The sequence below is a fragment of the Homo sapiens genome, chromosome 9 (assembly GCF_000001405.40).
Source record: "Homo sapiens chromosome 9, GRCh38.p14 Primary Assembly".
NCBI lineage: Eukaryota > Metazoa > Chordata > Mammalia > Primates > Hominidae > Homo > Homo sapiens.
Window position 1 is genome coordinate 2488820 of NC_000009.12, and position 17992 is coordinate 2506811.

At 40.8% G+C, this 17992-nt stretch overlaps 1 long non-coding RNA gene across 9 annotated transcripts in view; it reads right to left on the reverse strand.

Annotated features, from left to right (window-relative positions):
• Positions 1-17717, reverse strand: part of LOC101930053 (uncharacterized) — a 121382-nt gene extending 103665 nt beyond the window's left edge. For 5 of the 9 annotated variants that reach the window (XR_001746603.2, XR_929430.2, XR_929429.2 and 2 more), the window contains exons 1-2: positions 5361-5402; positions 4256-4606 (exon numbers count right to left, since the gene is read on the reverse strand). This is a non-coding gene — a long non-coding RNA (uncharacterized LOC101930053). Of the gene's footprint in view, positions 1-4255; positions 4607-5360; positions 5484-7673; positions 7794-14450; positions 14585-17599 lie in introns of those variants that run through there. The other 4 variants (XR_007061397.1, XR_007061396.1, XR_001746602.3 and 1 more) reach the window with 4 other exon arrangements.
• Positions 17718-17992: the final 275 nt, after the last annotated feature.

Below are 17992 nucleotides of genomic sequence, written 5' to 3' on the forward strand. Positions count from 1 at the left end.
TTTTTTTTTTGAGACGGAGTCTCGCTCTGTCGCCGAGGCTGGAGTGTAGTGGCGCGATCTCGGCTCACTGCAAGCTCCACCTCCTGGGTTCATGCCATTCTTCCGTCTCAGTTTAATTGTATATTTTATATAACTCGATATCTAACTGATCTAATTATCATTTTGACGGGTAATTGACACCATGTTAAAACAATTAATTAGATATTTTACATTATTTTATCAATAATAACTTGTTAAAATCAAGTGTGTGTTTTACACAAAGAGCACATCTCAATTCAAACTAATCACATTCTCAGTGCTCAGTAGACACATGTGGCTGCTGATGACTATGTTGGACAGTACAGCCTTATACTGAAATAATCAGTTTCTGGGTTTGCCTTCCCTTCTAGAAAGTATGCTGCTTAAGGGCTAGTCAATGTCACATGTGTGATATCATCAGTGTATCTTCAGTGCCTTACATATATGGAGCATTCATGAAATGCTTGCTGAACTTAACTGACCTGAAGGTACTTTGAGAGAAGGTAGAATTTTATTTAGCACCTGCTCAAACGAAGAGCAGCTTATGCATACTTAGGATAATTATGATGACAGAAATGACAGATATTTTTTCTTGAATGATGTTCTATGCTTTTTAAATATATTATCTCATTTAGCCCTCACAATGACCCTACATACCATATACCATTATTATATCCATTTATGAAAGACAAAACATTCCCCAAATTATACAGCTACTAAGTGAAAGAGCCAGAACTTTTTGAAATAGAGAAAAACAAAGTAAATAATATTAATTACATGTACACTCACCCACCACAATAAACCAAAAGTTGAAAACAAGCTACTCCACATAAATTAAAAGCCCTCTCCAATATGGAAGACTTCTCTTAAATTTCATTCACCAACTCCTGCAATATCTTTTCCAGAGCCTGGTGATCTGCTGAGTTTTCCCTTATGCAGGACCTACTTCTTTACAGATTTCTGAGCCAGACATTTCTGGCTTGGTATTTAATACCTTTCATACTCTCCTTCTATATTTGCATTCTGCCTGTCTGGTCAAAATGGCAGAGCTTTTCACAAACCACTGCAGTGACTAAAGTCACCTTTCTCAGGTCCTCATCTTCTCCCAAAATAGTGAGAAACAGCAGTGTATAAACTGCTTTCCTCTTCCTGCCGCCTGAAGGACCCTGCAGTCTCCCTCACATGGCCTGTGGGGGAGGTAAGCAATAATTGTTCACATGTGCTTTTGTTTAAGGGAACTGGGCTGAACTGTGCCTAAGAAAAATGACGCAGATCTTAATTTTTTTTTTTTTTTTTTTTTTTTTTTGGTGTACAAAAATCCCATTATCTCTAAACCACAGGAACCAGAGCCACATCTGGCAAGGGAAATAAAGCTGGAGATGTAAGGAAAGAACAGATTAGGAGAAGCCTTGAAAACAGGCAGCTGAGTTTAGATTTGAAATGGTGGGAAATAAAAATCCCTTAAGGGTTTCTGAGCATGGGAGTGATGTGATGAAAACAGTGATTAAAGAAGATGAAATACAAGCAGGACAAATTGAAGGGAGGGACTAGAGTCTGAGAAGAAGCAGTGATCTAGGCTCAGGGGAAGTGGAGAAGGCGAGGGTATTTATTAGAAAAGGGGTCCAGGATCCTATACAAATTAATTAACATATGCCCACCCCTAATTCACTTTACTACCAAGTTGCTACCCCATCTTTTGGTGGGGTTTTTTTTTTTAATGCTTTTCCTATATTGGGAAGGCAAAAATAAACCCAGGAGGAAGCAAATATTTTCATTAAAATGATAATAAAATGTCATCCCTATGAATATAAAGGTTTAACCGAGTACCCTGCTGAGCAAATGAGCTTTATCATAAGCATGTGGAACAGTGTGCTGGGCTGAAATGGATTTCAGAAAAATTTATATTAGAGCCTTATTCACAGAATTAAACAAACACAATGAAAACAAAGTAGTTTTTTAAAGCAGCTTCCTGCCATGAAGGCAATACGACGGCACAGAAATGGCTGCCCTCAAAGGGGCAACTCCAGCCCGAGGGCGCACCTAACTCCTTGCCTTCAAGGATGCCAAAAGCATCCCATCCAAGCCAGGTTCTACGTGGCAGGAAGAGAACATTGACACTCAGATAAACAAACACTGTTTGCCTAGCCCCTACTCACGAAACTTTATACCATAAGCCATCTTTAATTCTGGCTGCAATTTTAAATGGTCCAGAGACTTAAAAATTACTTCCATTTGTTTAGATCTGGAAAGAGCCTTGGAAGACATCTAAACCCACCATTTAAGAATACTTTTAAGCTACACAACCCTTTTGCCAATTCAATCTAATGGATACAGAATGGATCAATATTAAAATGGAGCTCCTTGGGTAGGGACTGTGGTAAAAGACCCAGAACTCCATCTACTCATTCTCTCCCGTTCCCTGTGTCTACCTCTACCCCACAACTTACCCACACTGTGGCAGACCCCCATAACTCTCCCCAGGGCTGCAGAGAAAGGACCCTACAAAATACGGAAGGGTCTACTACCTTTTGTGTGTGTGGTTTCTTGTGACAGATAAAAAATTGAAACCCAGAACGTTTAACACAGGACTTCCATTTCCAGCAAACTAAATAACCTGGAAAGCCTCCTTCTAGAAATACATGGAATGCTAGCTAAATACAAATATCCATTTAAATTCATAAAATGAACTCACGTAGACAAACTTATCAGTTTGAAAATGGGAACAACCTATGATCCAGCAGGTCCATGTCTATGTATGTATCCCAGAACTGTTCTTCAACTTGTCAGTGAAGATGCATCACTGGGTCATAAAACCCTTTCCTAAATTAAAATGGTGTATGAAATAGTCCAGGTTAAACTGAATTAGAGGTTAAGTGTGGTGGCTCACACCTGTAATCCCAGCCTTTTGGAAGGCTGAGGCGTGTGGATTGCTTGAGCCCAGGAGTTTGAGACCAGCATGGGCAATGTGGTGAAATCCCATAAATTAAAAAAAAAAAAAAAAAAAAAAAAAAAAAAAATTAGCTGTGCGTGGTGGCACACACTGGTAGTCCCAGCTACTCAGGAGGCTGTGGTGGGAGGATCACTTGAAGCTTGGAGATCGAGGCTTCAGTGAGCCATGATTGCACCACTGCACACCAGCCTGGGTGACACAGCAAGACACTATCTCAAAAATAAATAAATAAGTAGGCCAGGAGCAGTGGCTCACACCTGTAATCCCAACACTTTGGGAAGCCAAGGTGGGCGGATCACTTATGGTCAGGAGTTCAAGACCAACCTGGCCAACATGGTGAAACCCTGTCTCTACTAAAAATACAAAAATCAGCCGGGCATGGTGGCATGTGTCTGTAATCCCAGCTACTCAGGAGGCTGAGGTAGGAGAATGGTTTGAACCTGAGAGGCAGAGGTTGCAGTCAGCTGAGATCGCACCACAGCATTCTAGCCTGGGCGACAGAGCAAGACTCTGTCTCAAAATAAAATAAAATAAAATAAAATAAAATAAAATAAAATAAAATAAATAGAATTAGAATTAAGTAGAAAATAAAGATAAATATTATTCTGAGAAACTTTTGTTCCATATATGCATACATGTACATAAATGTAGCACATGTATGTGCTGGGTTTCCATGTAGCTGTGTGGACAAAACATTTTGAAAAATGCTATTGTAGAGAAGCTTTTGTATGTTAGGAGAAGGAAATGTACAAGAACACTCACTGAAGCATTGTTTATAATTGTGTAAAATTAAAAGCAATCTAAGTGTTCATCAACAGAAGAACAGATAAATATATAGTGGTCTGTTCATGAAACAAAGCAGTTCAAATGAATGAACTAGAGCTAAATCGTTGAGATCTTATGCTAAATTAGATAACAAACAAATGGTAGAATATGTGTGGTGTGCTTCCATTTATTTTAATTTTAAAAAAATGCAAAATGACAGTACATATTGTGGAAAGGTGCATGTGCATGCAGAAAAGGTCTGAAAGCATGTACCTGCAAGATAGTGTTTATCTCTGGATGGAAGAAAGGGAAATGGGATTAAGAAGTCTGCAAAGAACTTCAACTATGTCTGAATCAAACCCATCAAAATGTTAGGATTGCCTCAGACTGGGTGTTGGGACACAGAGTTTTGTTATTTCATTCTATTTTTTTGTTGATTAACTTCCTATGTCACCTGTGTCCATGAACTACGTGAGTTCATTTTATGCATTTGCACATTTAATGTCTTTTAAAATCACTCACCTAGGGCCAAAAAGCTGATTCGCAGAGTATTCTAGACTAAACCGAGGGTGGGATCCTAAGTGATTCGCAGTCTAGTCTTCTTTCCACATGGCTGCCAGTTCATGATCTGTTTGCAAATGAAAGGATTTGCATCATTTGGTCCTAATCTTAGTAATTTATTTTTACCTGAGAGATGATGCTCCCCACAGTCCACCAAGGCCACATCTGCTCTGGCAAGGAAGTGCACAAAGCACATTTGCTTTGTGAAGGCTGAGCTGTTACTTCACAGCTTGTCACTTGGCTCTGTTTCCCAACTTCACTTGTGCATTGCAACAAAATGCTAAGCCACTAAAAGGTCAGTAGAGAGATGATCTAAACATGCAAAAAATATCAGCAGAGACAGAGAGAAACACAAAAGGGAGGGAAGGGAGAAAAAACAGCTTTGAATGGGAAAATACACAAACATAAAAAGCAATCAAATTAAAATCAGAATATTACTGAGAAACCACAAAATAAGCATCAGGTGTATTTTAAATGATGGGAGTAACTTGAAAGAGTAGCATTTTTATAGCCTTGGATCACAGATACACAAACTAACAGAAGGAAGTTCGTTAACGTTTGTTTTCGTCTATCTGAAGACAAAAACAAAAAGACAAATGATACCTTGGCAACAACTGGAGAATCATAACAGAGAGATTTATGGTGCTTTGGAAAAGTTCAGGGCAATGTTTTTTATCATTGGCTCCTTTACACTCTTCAAGTTATATAAAAGGCTCTTCTGTTCCTTCTTTCAGACTAAATAAATACATAATCATAACTTCCAGCTCAGCTTTAGCTTTTCAGGTGGGTGAGTTAAAGCCTTCTGCTTTGTTGAGGGGGGTGGGGGCAGAGGGGTGATACTGGCAGAAAATGAAGATAACCCTTGTTGTATAAGGTCCGAGCAATCATTCCCCGGAGTTAAGTAAACTGGGCCAGGTGCGGTGGCTCACACCTGTAATCCCAGCACTTTGGGAGGTCAAGTCGGGCGGATCACCTGAAGTCGGGAATTTGAGACCAGCCTGACCAGCATGGAGAAACCCCATCTCTACTAAAAAATACAAAATTAGCCGGGCATGGTGGTGCATACCTGTAATCCCAGCTACTTGGGAGGCTGAGGCAGGAGAATTGCTTGAACCCGGGAGGCAGAGGTAGCCGTGAGCTGAAATCACGCCACTGCACTCCAGCCTGGGCAACAACAGTGAAACTCCGTCTGAAAAAAAAAAAAGAAGTAAACTGTATGTGATTCTGTCTTTTGGATACCTGTCACCCTGGCATGCCCACCGAGTCCATGAACTATGAACATATTCCTTTTGTACTCCTGGTGAAAACTCAGCTCTGTGACAGAATTCCTTCGGTTGTCTCAAGAGCAAATGCAGCAGCAGCTAGTATTTATTGAGCACTTTACTCTCCTAAGTTTTTTACCTCGTTTAGTCTTTACCTTCTCAGGAAGGTACTATAACTAGCTCCCTTTTATAGATGGAAACACTGAGATGCAGGAAATTTAAATAATATCGCTCAGGTCATCTAAAGCGACAGAACCAGGAATTGGAGTAGCCAGCAGATTCTAACAGCTTGAGCTTTTCAGTGCCACACTATCCTGGGAGGTGGTATTTAAGATAAGGAAAGGCAGCTGCTGAGATGACAGCACCAAATTATGTTAGCAGCCATGAGGCCCTTGCTCCAGCTACAGTGGTTCTAAGAGGGAAGTATTTACATGCCAATGAAGGTGAGTCACTAAAACTCAGAATCCTTTCTTTAGAATTTCTAGCAACCCACAGTATCTGCATCCAGAATAGGGTAGAGACTTTTAGAGCTCCTATATATCTTGCCCTACCCAAGTTATGGCTAATTTCCACTATACCCTCAATCCCCAGAGAATCAAAGTGGAGATGGACTTGGAAATGATATTGAATAAAAGGCAGAAGATTGAAGCCTGAGCTCAGGATTGCCACTTACTAACTGAATGGACTTAACCTTTCCGGGCCTTGTTTTCCTTGTGTGTAAAATGAGAAAAAATAATGCCCACTACATAGGATGGTGAGAATCAAACCAGACAGAGGCATGGAGAACTTTGATGGCACATATTGTTGACATGCAAGGATTTTTTTTCTTCGTCCTATAAGTCAGAGGGCACATTACAACCAAATTCTATAAACACCTATGACAGGGCCATGTGAATCCCAAAGAGCCTTCCTTTGCAGTATTATTATTAACCTTGGTCAGGTCATGTTCCTTTTTTTTTTTTCATCTGTAAGAGGAGGGATATTAATCACTAAGGTTGCCTCCAACTTTGGTATTTTGTGGTTTTGTGTTCGGGGTGTAGGAAAACCAAACCCAGGATTTCTAAATGGCAGGTTGGGTACTTCTAGGCAACCTTACTCTTCTAAGTGGAACAATCACGTTCCTCACATCCCATCACTCACACAAGAAATCTAACATCTATTATAATTATAGTGGTTCCAATGGCCAGCAAGTTCAAGTGTTAGAGAAAAGAAAACTGGATTGTCTACCAGAGGTGAGTGGATATCCCATTTCACAGGCAACCTGTTAGATGTTGGGGTGGTAGCATTCTGACACTTTTGCTCTGGGTTAAGCCAGACATACAAGGAATGCAGGACATTGTGACCTTTGAGGGATCTTCTAGCCCTGTGATCTCATGTGACTGCTTCACTGATAAGTATCACTTGAAACTGATGTCAGGTATGACCAGCCCAGGGCCCTTGCAGGCTTCCTGCCTCTCTGCAGGGTCTCTACACAGGGGACTCTCAAGCACTAGACAATGTCAACAGGGGCAGTCATAACTTGAGGGGGCAACTGGAGCGTGGTCCTGTAGCATTTGTGTGCTAGCTGAATGCTCTCCCAGTCCCTCCAGAGCAGGGCTGACCCCATTCCAAGGGAAGCTAGTCTCCTGGAGAGTGTAGGAGCTGCAGCTGAGAATGATGGATCCATTCTCAAAGGGAAAGAACACGAGGGAATTGGTCACTCTGTTCAGAGAGTCCACTACATAGACCACCCCCAGTGGTCTCACCCCCTGGGCTCTGCCAGCCTCAAGCAGGTGGCGGGACAGTTCACCTATGCAACATGAAGCCCAGTTAGCAGCCCGGAGATTCATCATGATGCCAGTAGGCTGAGTTGCTGGCACATTACCATGAGATGAGCATGGGTAGCCTCCCCAGGCCCTGTGCAGTGGGAACCCACTAACAGTTCATTCTCGGTCTCCAGCAGGCCATGCTCATTTCTGCCTTGGCCGTTCCCTCCTGAAATATTTGGTCCTCAGCCTTGCACAGCTGGCTCCCTTCTGCAACTCAAGTTTCATTTCAAATATCACTTTCTTAGGCCTTCCATGGTCACAGCCTCCCCAACCCTCTATCACACACCCTGTTTTGTTTTTCTTATAGACCTTTTCAATTTCTGAAGTGATCCCATTCGTTTTTCGTGTTTATTTTCTATTTTCTCTTTTAGAATGTGAGCTCAGTTAGAACCAAGACCCTCTCTGTCTTCACCAATCAATCCTCAGCACCTAGAAAAATGTCAAGCAGATAATGCAGAGTCAATAAATATCAGTAGAATTAGTTAGTTAATTCTATCTAGGACAGGTGTGCAGTGGCATGAACAGGGTTTCTCTCTATGCTCTAAAGCAGTGGTGAGATTTCAAGACTCCAGGGTGGCTTGGTAGATACTTTTGAATATCTAACCGTTGTAGGTGCCATCCCCTGTTCTTCTATCCCATTAAAGATCTGAGAATCATTCTCTGAGCCATAGGAGTTGGCTCCTGGCACCCGTTTTTACTATATAATTTTCTCACTTAGGAATGTTTTTGGTTGCAGGTAAAGGCAACAATAACAACAACCTATTAAAGTACACTGTGATGTCAACAAATAGGTTTTCATTTTTCTCAAATAAGAACAAATCAGGAGGGATGCTGTCCAGTGTCAGTGCAGCAATTCAACCATACAGAGACCTTGGCTCTTTCTCCTTTGCACCCTCTATTCTTAGCACACAGCTTTCCTCTCATACTTGTCACATCATGGTTACAAGATGGCTGCTGAATCACCAGGCATCATGCCTGCATTCCAGAGAAGGAGAAAAGCAGAAGGAGACAGAGCCATGCTTGGTAAATCTGTTGTTCCTTTTTATAGGAAAGACAAAAGCTTTCCCAGAATCATATCCAACTAACTTCTATTTATAACTGCTACATTAGAATTGGGTCACAATGCCACTGTCAACCAATTACTGACAAAGAAAAATGGGATTACTATGACTGGTTTAGACTATCACAATTCATCCTCTGGGACTGCAGTGGGAATTTATCTTCCCTGAGATCAAGCTGTTGTCACACTCTTCTGAACAAATTGGGATTCTAACAGAAAAAATGAGAGAGACATGGCCATTAGCTATGCTATAGCTAAATGAACTAGAGTGGGGATTTGACCAATAATTGGGCCTATACAATTCTCTTTGCCAAGAATTACAGCTGAGACACAGACACAGAGAAAAAGGCAGATCCCCTGCACCATTGTGTTTCTGAACTTTGAGATGTGGTTGCTTAAATTCTTTAAACTTTATCAGATGCTTAAGTATTTTACTACCCTAAAAGTGTCTTCTTTTCCCAAAGCAAGTTCAAGGTGGTTTCTGTTGTTTAAAACCAAAGGGTCTTTGTTATAGGAGCATCTAACTACAAACATTCTGTGTGGCCCAATCAGGCTGTGCTGCAGGGTTTATATAGGGTGTCAGGCAGTCATTCACACCTCCCTCAGGAACAGCAGGGTCCTTTGCACCAAACCTTCTCCTCCTGAGGTGACCGGAACATTGTAGACATTATGTCATCAGCCCGACAACATGCTCCTTTTCCCTTTCACCTTCAGACAGCATTTGCTGAGGTCCCAAGTGAACAGAGAGGCCTTTGGACACTAAAGGCCTGTGTTGCACAGAGGGATGGAGGTTGTACAACAGCATCCACACTAACTAGTGGAGCGCTGGGACTGCTGAGATGTCACATCACAAGTCCATGATAAAGGCCAAAAACACACCGTACCTTGTGATCATTAGGCCAGTGCTCTATTTCTTTTCTAAACCACCTGATTATCTAGGTCAAACACAAATACATTCACACAGTCATCCACACCCCCTCACACAGTCATCCACACCCCCACAATGAGGAAAGACTGTAATGTGAAAAGCCTGCCCAGCCCAGCTTAGGATTCCCTTCCTGCTAATAGCCACAAGGAATATTTTGGGGCCGATTATAAGGATTATCACTCACCTGTTCTATAAGGATATCTCCATAGATCTCTTGCTCTGTCATCTCTGAACCTGATCTAAATTATTTGTTAATGTATATGTTTCCCTGACTTACGCAAATTTTAGACAGGGTTTCTCAAAATGTGTTGCTTGCAACTTACGGGTTTTATATGAACAAATGGTTCTGTCAGATAACTTTTGGAAACTCCTGGTTAAAGAAAGTTAAATGGCTTTTTCATTGCCAGACATTGCAAAGCTGTCAATATGCTAACATGCGTGATGAATATCTAAGAAAGGGATGCAGTACGTGGCATTTTCCAAATTTGTCTAATCACTTAATGAAAGTTTTTTTCTTGACATATATGAAAGGCTGATGATCTAAGAGGTGAGCATTGGGAGACACTGCTGGTGGGGAGGAGTGCAGGGGTACATCCTAAAACCTCCTACCTCTAAGTACCAAGAGACATATTCTGTGACTTGGTTTAGTAGGTAAGGCCCAAACTTAGGTGTTCCCTAGTAAATACTGCTAGACAGTTAGAACTGCCACTTAGCACACAGCACCTGAGTCCTGCATTACACCTGCTATACTGGGCAGAAGCACATTGCTGTATGGGAGGAGTATACTGTGTTCTTGGACTAATCACGTTATTTCTCTCAGCATTAGGTTCCCCTCCTTGAAAATAAGCATTTTAGGCCATGTGAGAATGGGAAGAATGAAGTCATTATTGAAGAGTTTAATACCCTATTAGTTTTCTTCTGTTCCAACCTTTAATCCAAGCAATTTTGGTTGATGTGAGGGTGATAGGCCACATTGGCTTCAGTGACCTGACATGAATTAAAAACTTATTTGTCTTGTCTAGACCCATTTTCCTGAAAAGACCACTTGGTACAACATAAAAATATCCTGCCTACCTACATGCAAACATATCCCTAAATATCCGGCACTGATTCCGTTGCCTCCTAAACTTTATATGCTTCAAGCATCCCTGAACTGACAACATGATTTCAGGAGAATTAAATGCCTGGATTGACAATGGTTCTGCCAAAGCTTCATCTGTAGGACATCCAGAAAGAAAACCTCCTTTCCCTGGTAGGCTATTTTTCAGAGGTAGAGAAAGTCAAGTCAAAGAAGAGAATAACTGAGCAAACTCATTTATCATCACAATTTAATAATATAAACTGCAGTTCATAAAATAAGTCTGAGAGAATTTTGTGTCTAACTCTAAAAGTTCAACATTAACAGCCATGTGATCATAAAAAAAAATCATTGTTTATCTTTATCCCCAAGAGGAGTATGTTCAGGTTATATTAATAAGGATCATAACTTCTCTAAATTTACTTTGGCCTTATATTCCCCTAAATGGAATCATTTGAAGTGTCTGAGAAAAGTTCAGGTTTTAACCACATCCCTGTCTCTTAGTTCTGTGAAAGAGGGAATGGTCTCTGTAGCAACGGGAACAAGAATATTAAAAGGCACAGTAGTGTAATAGGAAAAAAATGAACAAGAGCATCAGAGGACCAAGATTCTAGTCAGTTTTCAGACAGTCGATGTGCTTAGGGGTTGGACTGTGTCCACCAAACAATTCATATGTTGAAGTCCTAACCCTCAGTACCTCAGAATGTGATCTTTAGAAAAGAGGGTCTTTACAGGGGCAATCAAGTTAAAATAAGGTCATTAGAGTAAGCCCTAATCCAGTATGACTGGTGTCCTTATAAGAAGAGGAAATTTGAATACAAACATGCAAAGAGGGAGGATAATGTGAAGAGACACAGGGAGAAGATGGCCATCTACAAGCCAAAGAGAGAGCTCTGGAACACATCCTTTCCTTACAGCCATAGAAGGAACCAATCCTGCCAACCCTTTGACTTGTGGATGCTCCATCTCCAGAACTGTGAGACAGTAAAGTCCTGTTGTTTAAGCCACCCAGTTTGTGATACTTTGTTATGGCTACCCTGACAGATTAATACAGCTGTTTTCCTGGGTAAGTCTTTTAATATCTCAGGGTCTCAGTCTCCTCATCTATAGCATTAGGGGGTAGATGGCCTTTGAAATTGCTTTTATCTATAAAGGTTAGTGATCAATGATGCAGGTAGCCTCTCTCCAATTCTCTTGAGATGTACACAAGTACCATCTTCTGAGACAAGCTTTCTGTCTTATCTATGGATCAACGGATTATAGATGGGTTGAAACCAGCTTTGATTATCCCATCTGGCCACCCTAATTTATAATTCAGTAATGACTTTAATAGGCAAAATAAGGAGGAAAGGAGGCTCGCAGTTACAAACTGTGAGCTACAAACTCACAGTTCATCTCTTTTCACAAGGAATTCATCATCTGGAAAAACTTACTTCTAACAGATTCTAATGGAGGTATTAGGGTGGGGCTCAGGCAAAAAGATCAATAACAAATGTAAATTTTATGATGTTGTTCTCCATGGCGGAACCTCTGCCAAGCAAACAATAAAAGCACACACTTTGTGCTCTCTTCACAACCCATTTCTGGACTCTCTGTCACTCAAATGTTTATCATGAAAGAAAATGTGTTTCAGGCACAACTATTAAACTTCTGAGTGTTACTATCCTGTTCCATCTCAGCAATAAAACAGTTAATAACAAGGACTTTTTGCAACATTTATCAACCTCTCATCCGCATGTATCATCTTGGTAAAATCCCAAACTATTAATGCTTCTTCAAAGCCTGGAATATAGTATTAATGTCAGAATCATAATGGGTAAGAGGAACATTTTGGCAACAGAAATTGTAATTCTAAATGCTGTAAAACAGAACTAATGTTCTAGCTCCCCTTCTCTGTACCTCATTGAATATATACTTTCCTGCCAAAGGAAATAGGGAGATAAGCATCCTACTCTATAATAGAATTTTATCATTGCAAACCAGGGTCACCTTCTTAAGTAGCTGAACAGCTGGCTTAGCATCAAGTATACTAAAGCAAAACTCAACATACTTTGCAAACATATATCCACCATTTACATGGAAACTGCTTGTATCAGTCAGGATCCCAGTGAGACAGAACACTCATATTAGGATAATTCAAAGAAGGTTTATTTAATAAGGAACTTTTTACAAGGGTGTATTCAGGATGTAATAGAACCACAATGGTTTGCAGGCAAAAAGCAAAGATTAGAAGCTGAAGTGCTTACACCACCCTTATGCACAAGGAGACAAGAAGGAGTTGCCAGAATTGGGAAGAAGAAAGTCATGTTGAGAGGACTACCTAGAAATGAGACACAGCCCAAGGTGGGCTCCCAAGGAGTGAGCCAGGTGAATCAATACCCTGATTTTACTTACCTCCCTCACTTCAGTTTCCTCCCAGGACACCCCGTTGTTCACACCCGATTACAGATGGAAAAAAGAGTGCCCATTAATGTGTTCCATGAGGGTCAGCCTCTAAAGACCAGAGTGAGTAGATTTGGAGGGGGTGATTGGACAATATACAGCATAGTGCTAAATAACCCAACAGACTCACTGGGATACTATTTGTAAATTTCGAGAGTAGAAAGATGTCTACTCTTGTTCACCACTTTATTCCCAGCTATGTCATCCCAATACCAACGAATTCTCTGATTCTCTTGTTACCAGTGGAATGTGTCCAGGTTCTGGGCATCTTGAATGAAGAATTGGTCAAAATGCACAAAACAAGGAAGGAATGAAGGAATTTATTGAAAATGAAAGCACACTCCACAGAGTGGGAGTGGGCCTGAGCATAGGGGCTCAAAGGCCCCGTTACAGAATTTTCAGGAGTTTAAATACCCTCTAGATGATTCCATTGGTTACCTGGTGTACGCCCTACGTAAATGGAGAGGCTGAAGTAAAGTTACAGTCATTTACTCAGTGTACACCCTATGGAGAGGATATTTCCTGTGATAGCTGAAGTATGAATCGGCCTATGTCCCCTGCCTCTAGACCCTGTTTTCCTGCCTAACTCTGAAGCCAACTGGGTGGCAACAATTCAACTTGATTCAGACACTAGCTACCCAGAGTTAGCCTAGACCACACACAGTAAGGCTTCAGTTCCATAAGAAACCCTCACTTTAGATGCTAGCTGTACATGATGTCTCCAGGCTACCTGCACTTCTGCCCAGTCTACCACAAATTTGGGGGTTTCCACAACCACTCCCCAGGTTCAGTGGTTTGCTAGAATGACCGACAGATTCAGAAAAGCTATCTACTTTCAATTACACTTATTATAAAGGACACAATTCAGGAACATCCAAATGGAAGTGATGCATCGGGCAAGGTATGGGGCAGGGAGAGGACACAACTCTTCCATGCCCTTTCTGGGTAAGACACCCTCCCAATATGTCAATGTAGTCACCAAACAGGAGGCTCCCTTAGCCTTATTGCTTCAGTTTTTATGAAAGCATCATTACCACATAGACAGTATTTACTAAATCATTTCCCACTGCTGATTGAACTCAATCTCCAGCCCGTCTACCCTCTCTGGAGGTGGGGAGGAAGGCAGTGCAGAGCTGACAATTCTAACCCTATAATCAGGTGGTTGGCTTCTCTGGTGACCAGCCCTTATCCTGAAGCTATCTAAGCATGGCCCTCTTTAGTCACCTCATTAGCATGCAAAAGACACTCTATCACTCAGGAATTTCCAAAGGTTTTAGGAGCTCTGTGCCAAAAACTGGGACGAAGACCAAATACATTTTTTTTCTCATGTTACAGCAACACATTGTACCACACAGGGCCTGGCCCATAACAGACACTCAATATTTTCTCATGGATGATGCAGTCTTCAGTAGGGCCACTCTAGGGTTCTTTCTTCATTCTTTCCTGCCTTCTTTTCAAGGTATTAGTGCATCCGTTAAGCCTAAATTCTACATGGTTTTAAGATCCACGTCCCCCTCTAGCTGGATACCTTAAGAAGACAAACCTAAATGGCTCCCTGAACGTTAGGGCAATTCATACCTCTTGACATCCCAGGCATAGGTAGACTCAAAGTAAGATCTTTTAGAAATGGAATCTTAACTATTGATAGATTAGCTTCTTCGGTCTCTTCACAGTTTCATCTCTTCCATCATCAACCACCAGGCTCTTATGTCCTTAAAAAGAGGAGGAAGCTAAGGTTGGACATTTTCTGGGGGTGGTAGGATATTTTGTCCTAATGTCATATGTTGTACATCATGCCACCAAAAAGAATGTACATTCTGGATGGTTACACAATGATATGAGTTCCACCTTATTCTTCAAAAACTCCAAATGATCAACATTTTACATATTATGGGGGGAAATTACATTTCTACCAGGAGAAAATGTGAAACCAGGAATGAGGAAAACAAAGGATGTAGCAAGGCTATTCTAAATCAACTTGAGAAAATGAAAGTGAAAAATATAAACCCATTCAGGGCTAACATATCTTGAAAATATGATGTGAAATTTCGAGACTTAATTAGGGGTAAGGGGGAAGAGTGTTGAAGTTTTGTACCTATCAGCAGAGCAAGGTGTCACTCTGATGGACTGATAGGTTTCCCTATGGCTAGTAATGGCTTTCTAACATTAATAAAATGGGCAAAGCTCTATTACCAAACTCTGGGTTCTCTACCTGAAGAGTTATCCAATGGCTTGAATGGGTCCTTTAGGAGAACATTTTTAGCCCTGCTCACACACTCACAGCCAACCTTTCTGTGGAAGTGGGGTGCCTTTCAGCCTGAGCAAAAGTAGTAAATGGATTCCTGAATTTCTTCAGTTGAGTGTCCTCTCTGGGTAATGCACCCTTTGTGCATGAGACACTTGCTTTGATCAGTAAGCACACATATCATCACTTCAGGCACTGATCAAAAAAATGCAGCCAAGAATAGACTGTGATATACAGCTTGCAAAAGTTTGCTAGAGACTCTTGATACTGGGAAAAATTGCCTAAGGCCATTGTTCTAAAGCCAGTTGATCATCCTGGTTATTTAGAACAATAACCAAGTAGGGAAGGATAGACAGGTAGGTCATTGAAAGGAAAGACAGCAAGAGAGAATGGAGTGAATATCTAGGCCCCACTCAAAGTTGTACTTAATCAAAATTTCTAAAAAGAGGGACTTTTAAAAGTCGCAGCCTTTCCGCCTCCCTCCAATCATACAGCAGTGAAAGGTAAATCAATTATCCTTTGCATATCTCTAAACTATACTTATCTGGATTGGGTACATTAAAATAACATGGAGAATCTTTTCCAAATATTCTGAACCTCTTCTCTTCCCTTCGTCCTACCTCTTCTTCAGTTGAGATCCACTGAGCACTACTTCTCTATTACACTCAGCTACTAAAAAGAAATATATTTGGGTCACATATCTTAATTCCCTGCTGACATACTTTAATGGAATTAATATTTAACAACACACACTTGACTTAGATCAGAAATGCCTTACAGGAGTTACCTATTTGAATTTTACGTTGTTACATCTTCTGGAAAATCATAGTTTCAATCATCTGACACGTTATCCCATGTCCATTACATAAACCCTTCACAAAAATTCCATATCAGAAGAGAGGTGGTCCCCCCAGCAGAACATGTCAGTTCCTTTCTAACAGACAATGATAATGAGATAATGCAAAGCATTGCCCCAGTGTCTCAGCTGCTAGGAAACAAGCCTTTTTTTTAAAGAAATAACTGCACATATTGATAAGAATCCTTTGAAATGGAGCCTTGTAAGACAATGTTGTCCAATAGAACTTCCTGTGATGATAGAAATGTCCTACACCCATACTGTCCAATTCAGTAGCCAGTAGTCACATGGCTAGTGATCACTTAAAATGTGACTAGTGCAACTGAAGAATAAATTTTACATTTTATTTAATGTCAACTAATTTAAACAGCAGCGTGTGGCTAGTAGCTACATTGAACAGCATGACTGTAAGGTTACTTCTTCTTTCAGACTTTGCAGTTAGTACTTACACAGAAGTAAAACAATAGAATTTTTTTATGGCAGTTTCAATTTAGGTGCAAATACTATGTTTAAATTATAAGAGTGTCACTGTCTTTTAGTAATATTGTTTGAAAGGATTTGTGCTTAACTGGCCTTGACTATAGAAGCTTGGCTGCTCCCAATAAAGAGGAAAAGTATCACGTCTTCTCTCTAGGGCAGACTTATTTAACAGGACATGTCTCTGGTCTGGGCTGATGATAGAATTGCTGACCTTCTGCTGAACAGTGCCACCACCACATCCCACCTAAGTGATGGTGGGGAGTGGGGATAACATTTATTCTCCCCTCAGCTAGGGAGGGACCCTTCAATATTCCAAACCCACCTAGTAGAGGGAGGGCAGGAGGTGGCTTTAAGGCTTGCTTTGTTTAATTCACACACGGAGAATGTGCTCTCTGTTTAAGGAAGAGCCCAGTGGGTTTGCCAGATTTCTCAGCCTCGACACTATTGACATTTGGGTCTGATAATTTCTTTGTTGTTGGGGGCTGAATTATATTTTATTGGATGTTCAGCAGCATTGCTGGCTTCTACCCATTAGATTCCATTGCAGCCTTCATCCCTCCTAGTAGTGGTAACTGAATATTTCTCCAGACGCTGTCAAATGTCCTCTGGGGGGCAAAATCACCCTGGATTGAGAACCATTGACCTAGACAGTAAGATTTTAGACTGCAGACAACTTAAGAAAGGAGACCCAATCTAGCTTAGTTTTTTTTTTTATGTTTGTTTGTTTTGTTTTGTTTTATTATTTTTTAAAATATCCAGTCCCTAGCAGATACCTGGTGCATGATATGCATTCAAGTAAACATTGCTTGGATGAATGAATGAAAAGCCACTGTTATATATTTTTAACCTTTAAAATATCTACTTCAGTGCCTAATATAGTGTAACAGCCAATGAACAAATGTTTTCTGGTCTCTCTTAATATTCTTACAGGTGTTAACAAAGAGCAAGAATTCCTACTAATGAGTACTTGAGGAAGAAAAATCACAGGAAAAATAAATCTTTTGCATGCCTTAATGTGCATGAAGCCATCTTCCTGGCCTGTTAGGATTTTAAGCTAATAATATAAGTCTAAAAATATAGTCTTACCATTTCCAAAGGAAATGCCGTAATTGCAAGTGAAAAAGCAAGGCTCATTGACTTCCTCACCTCCTCTCCTCACCAAAGTTCATCTGGATGCTGGGTCAGTAAAATTCCTCCCTCACTGAGTGTGGGAGCCAGTCCTCTCCGGCACCAGATACAATCTCCAAGAGCCCAGGCTGCCAGCTTCCCTGCAGGAGAAAAATAGATGGCTCGGTTCAGTTTGTGGTTACTGAACCTTTAAGCTTCATTTGCCAGCAGGTAATGCTTTTATCTCACTTGTCACAATCAACACCTGAAGAATAAATCTACTGCCTAATTAAAGCTAAACCCTTTGCACCTAAAATTTAGGAGATGTCTCATCTCCAAGTACATACGGAATAGCACGGCAGAGAGAAAAAGCCATTCCCACCACGCACAGATTTAAACCGACAATACATATAGTATAATCTGCCCTTCACT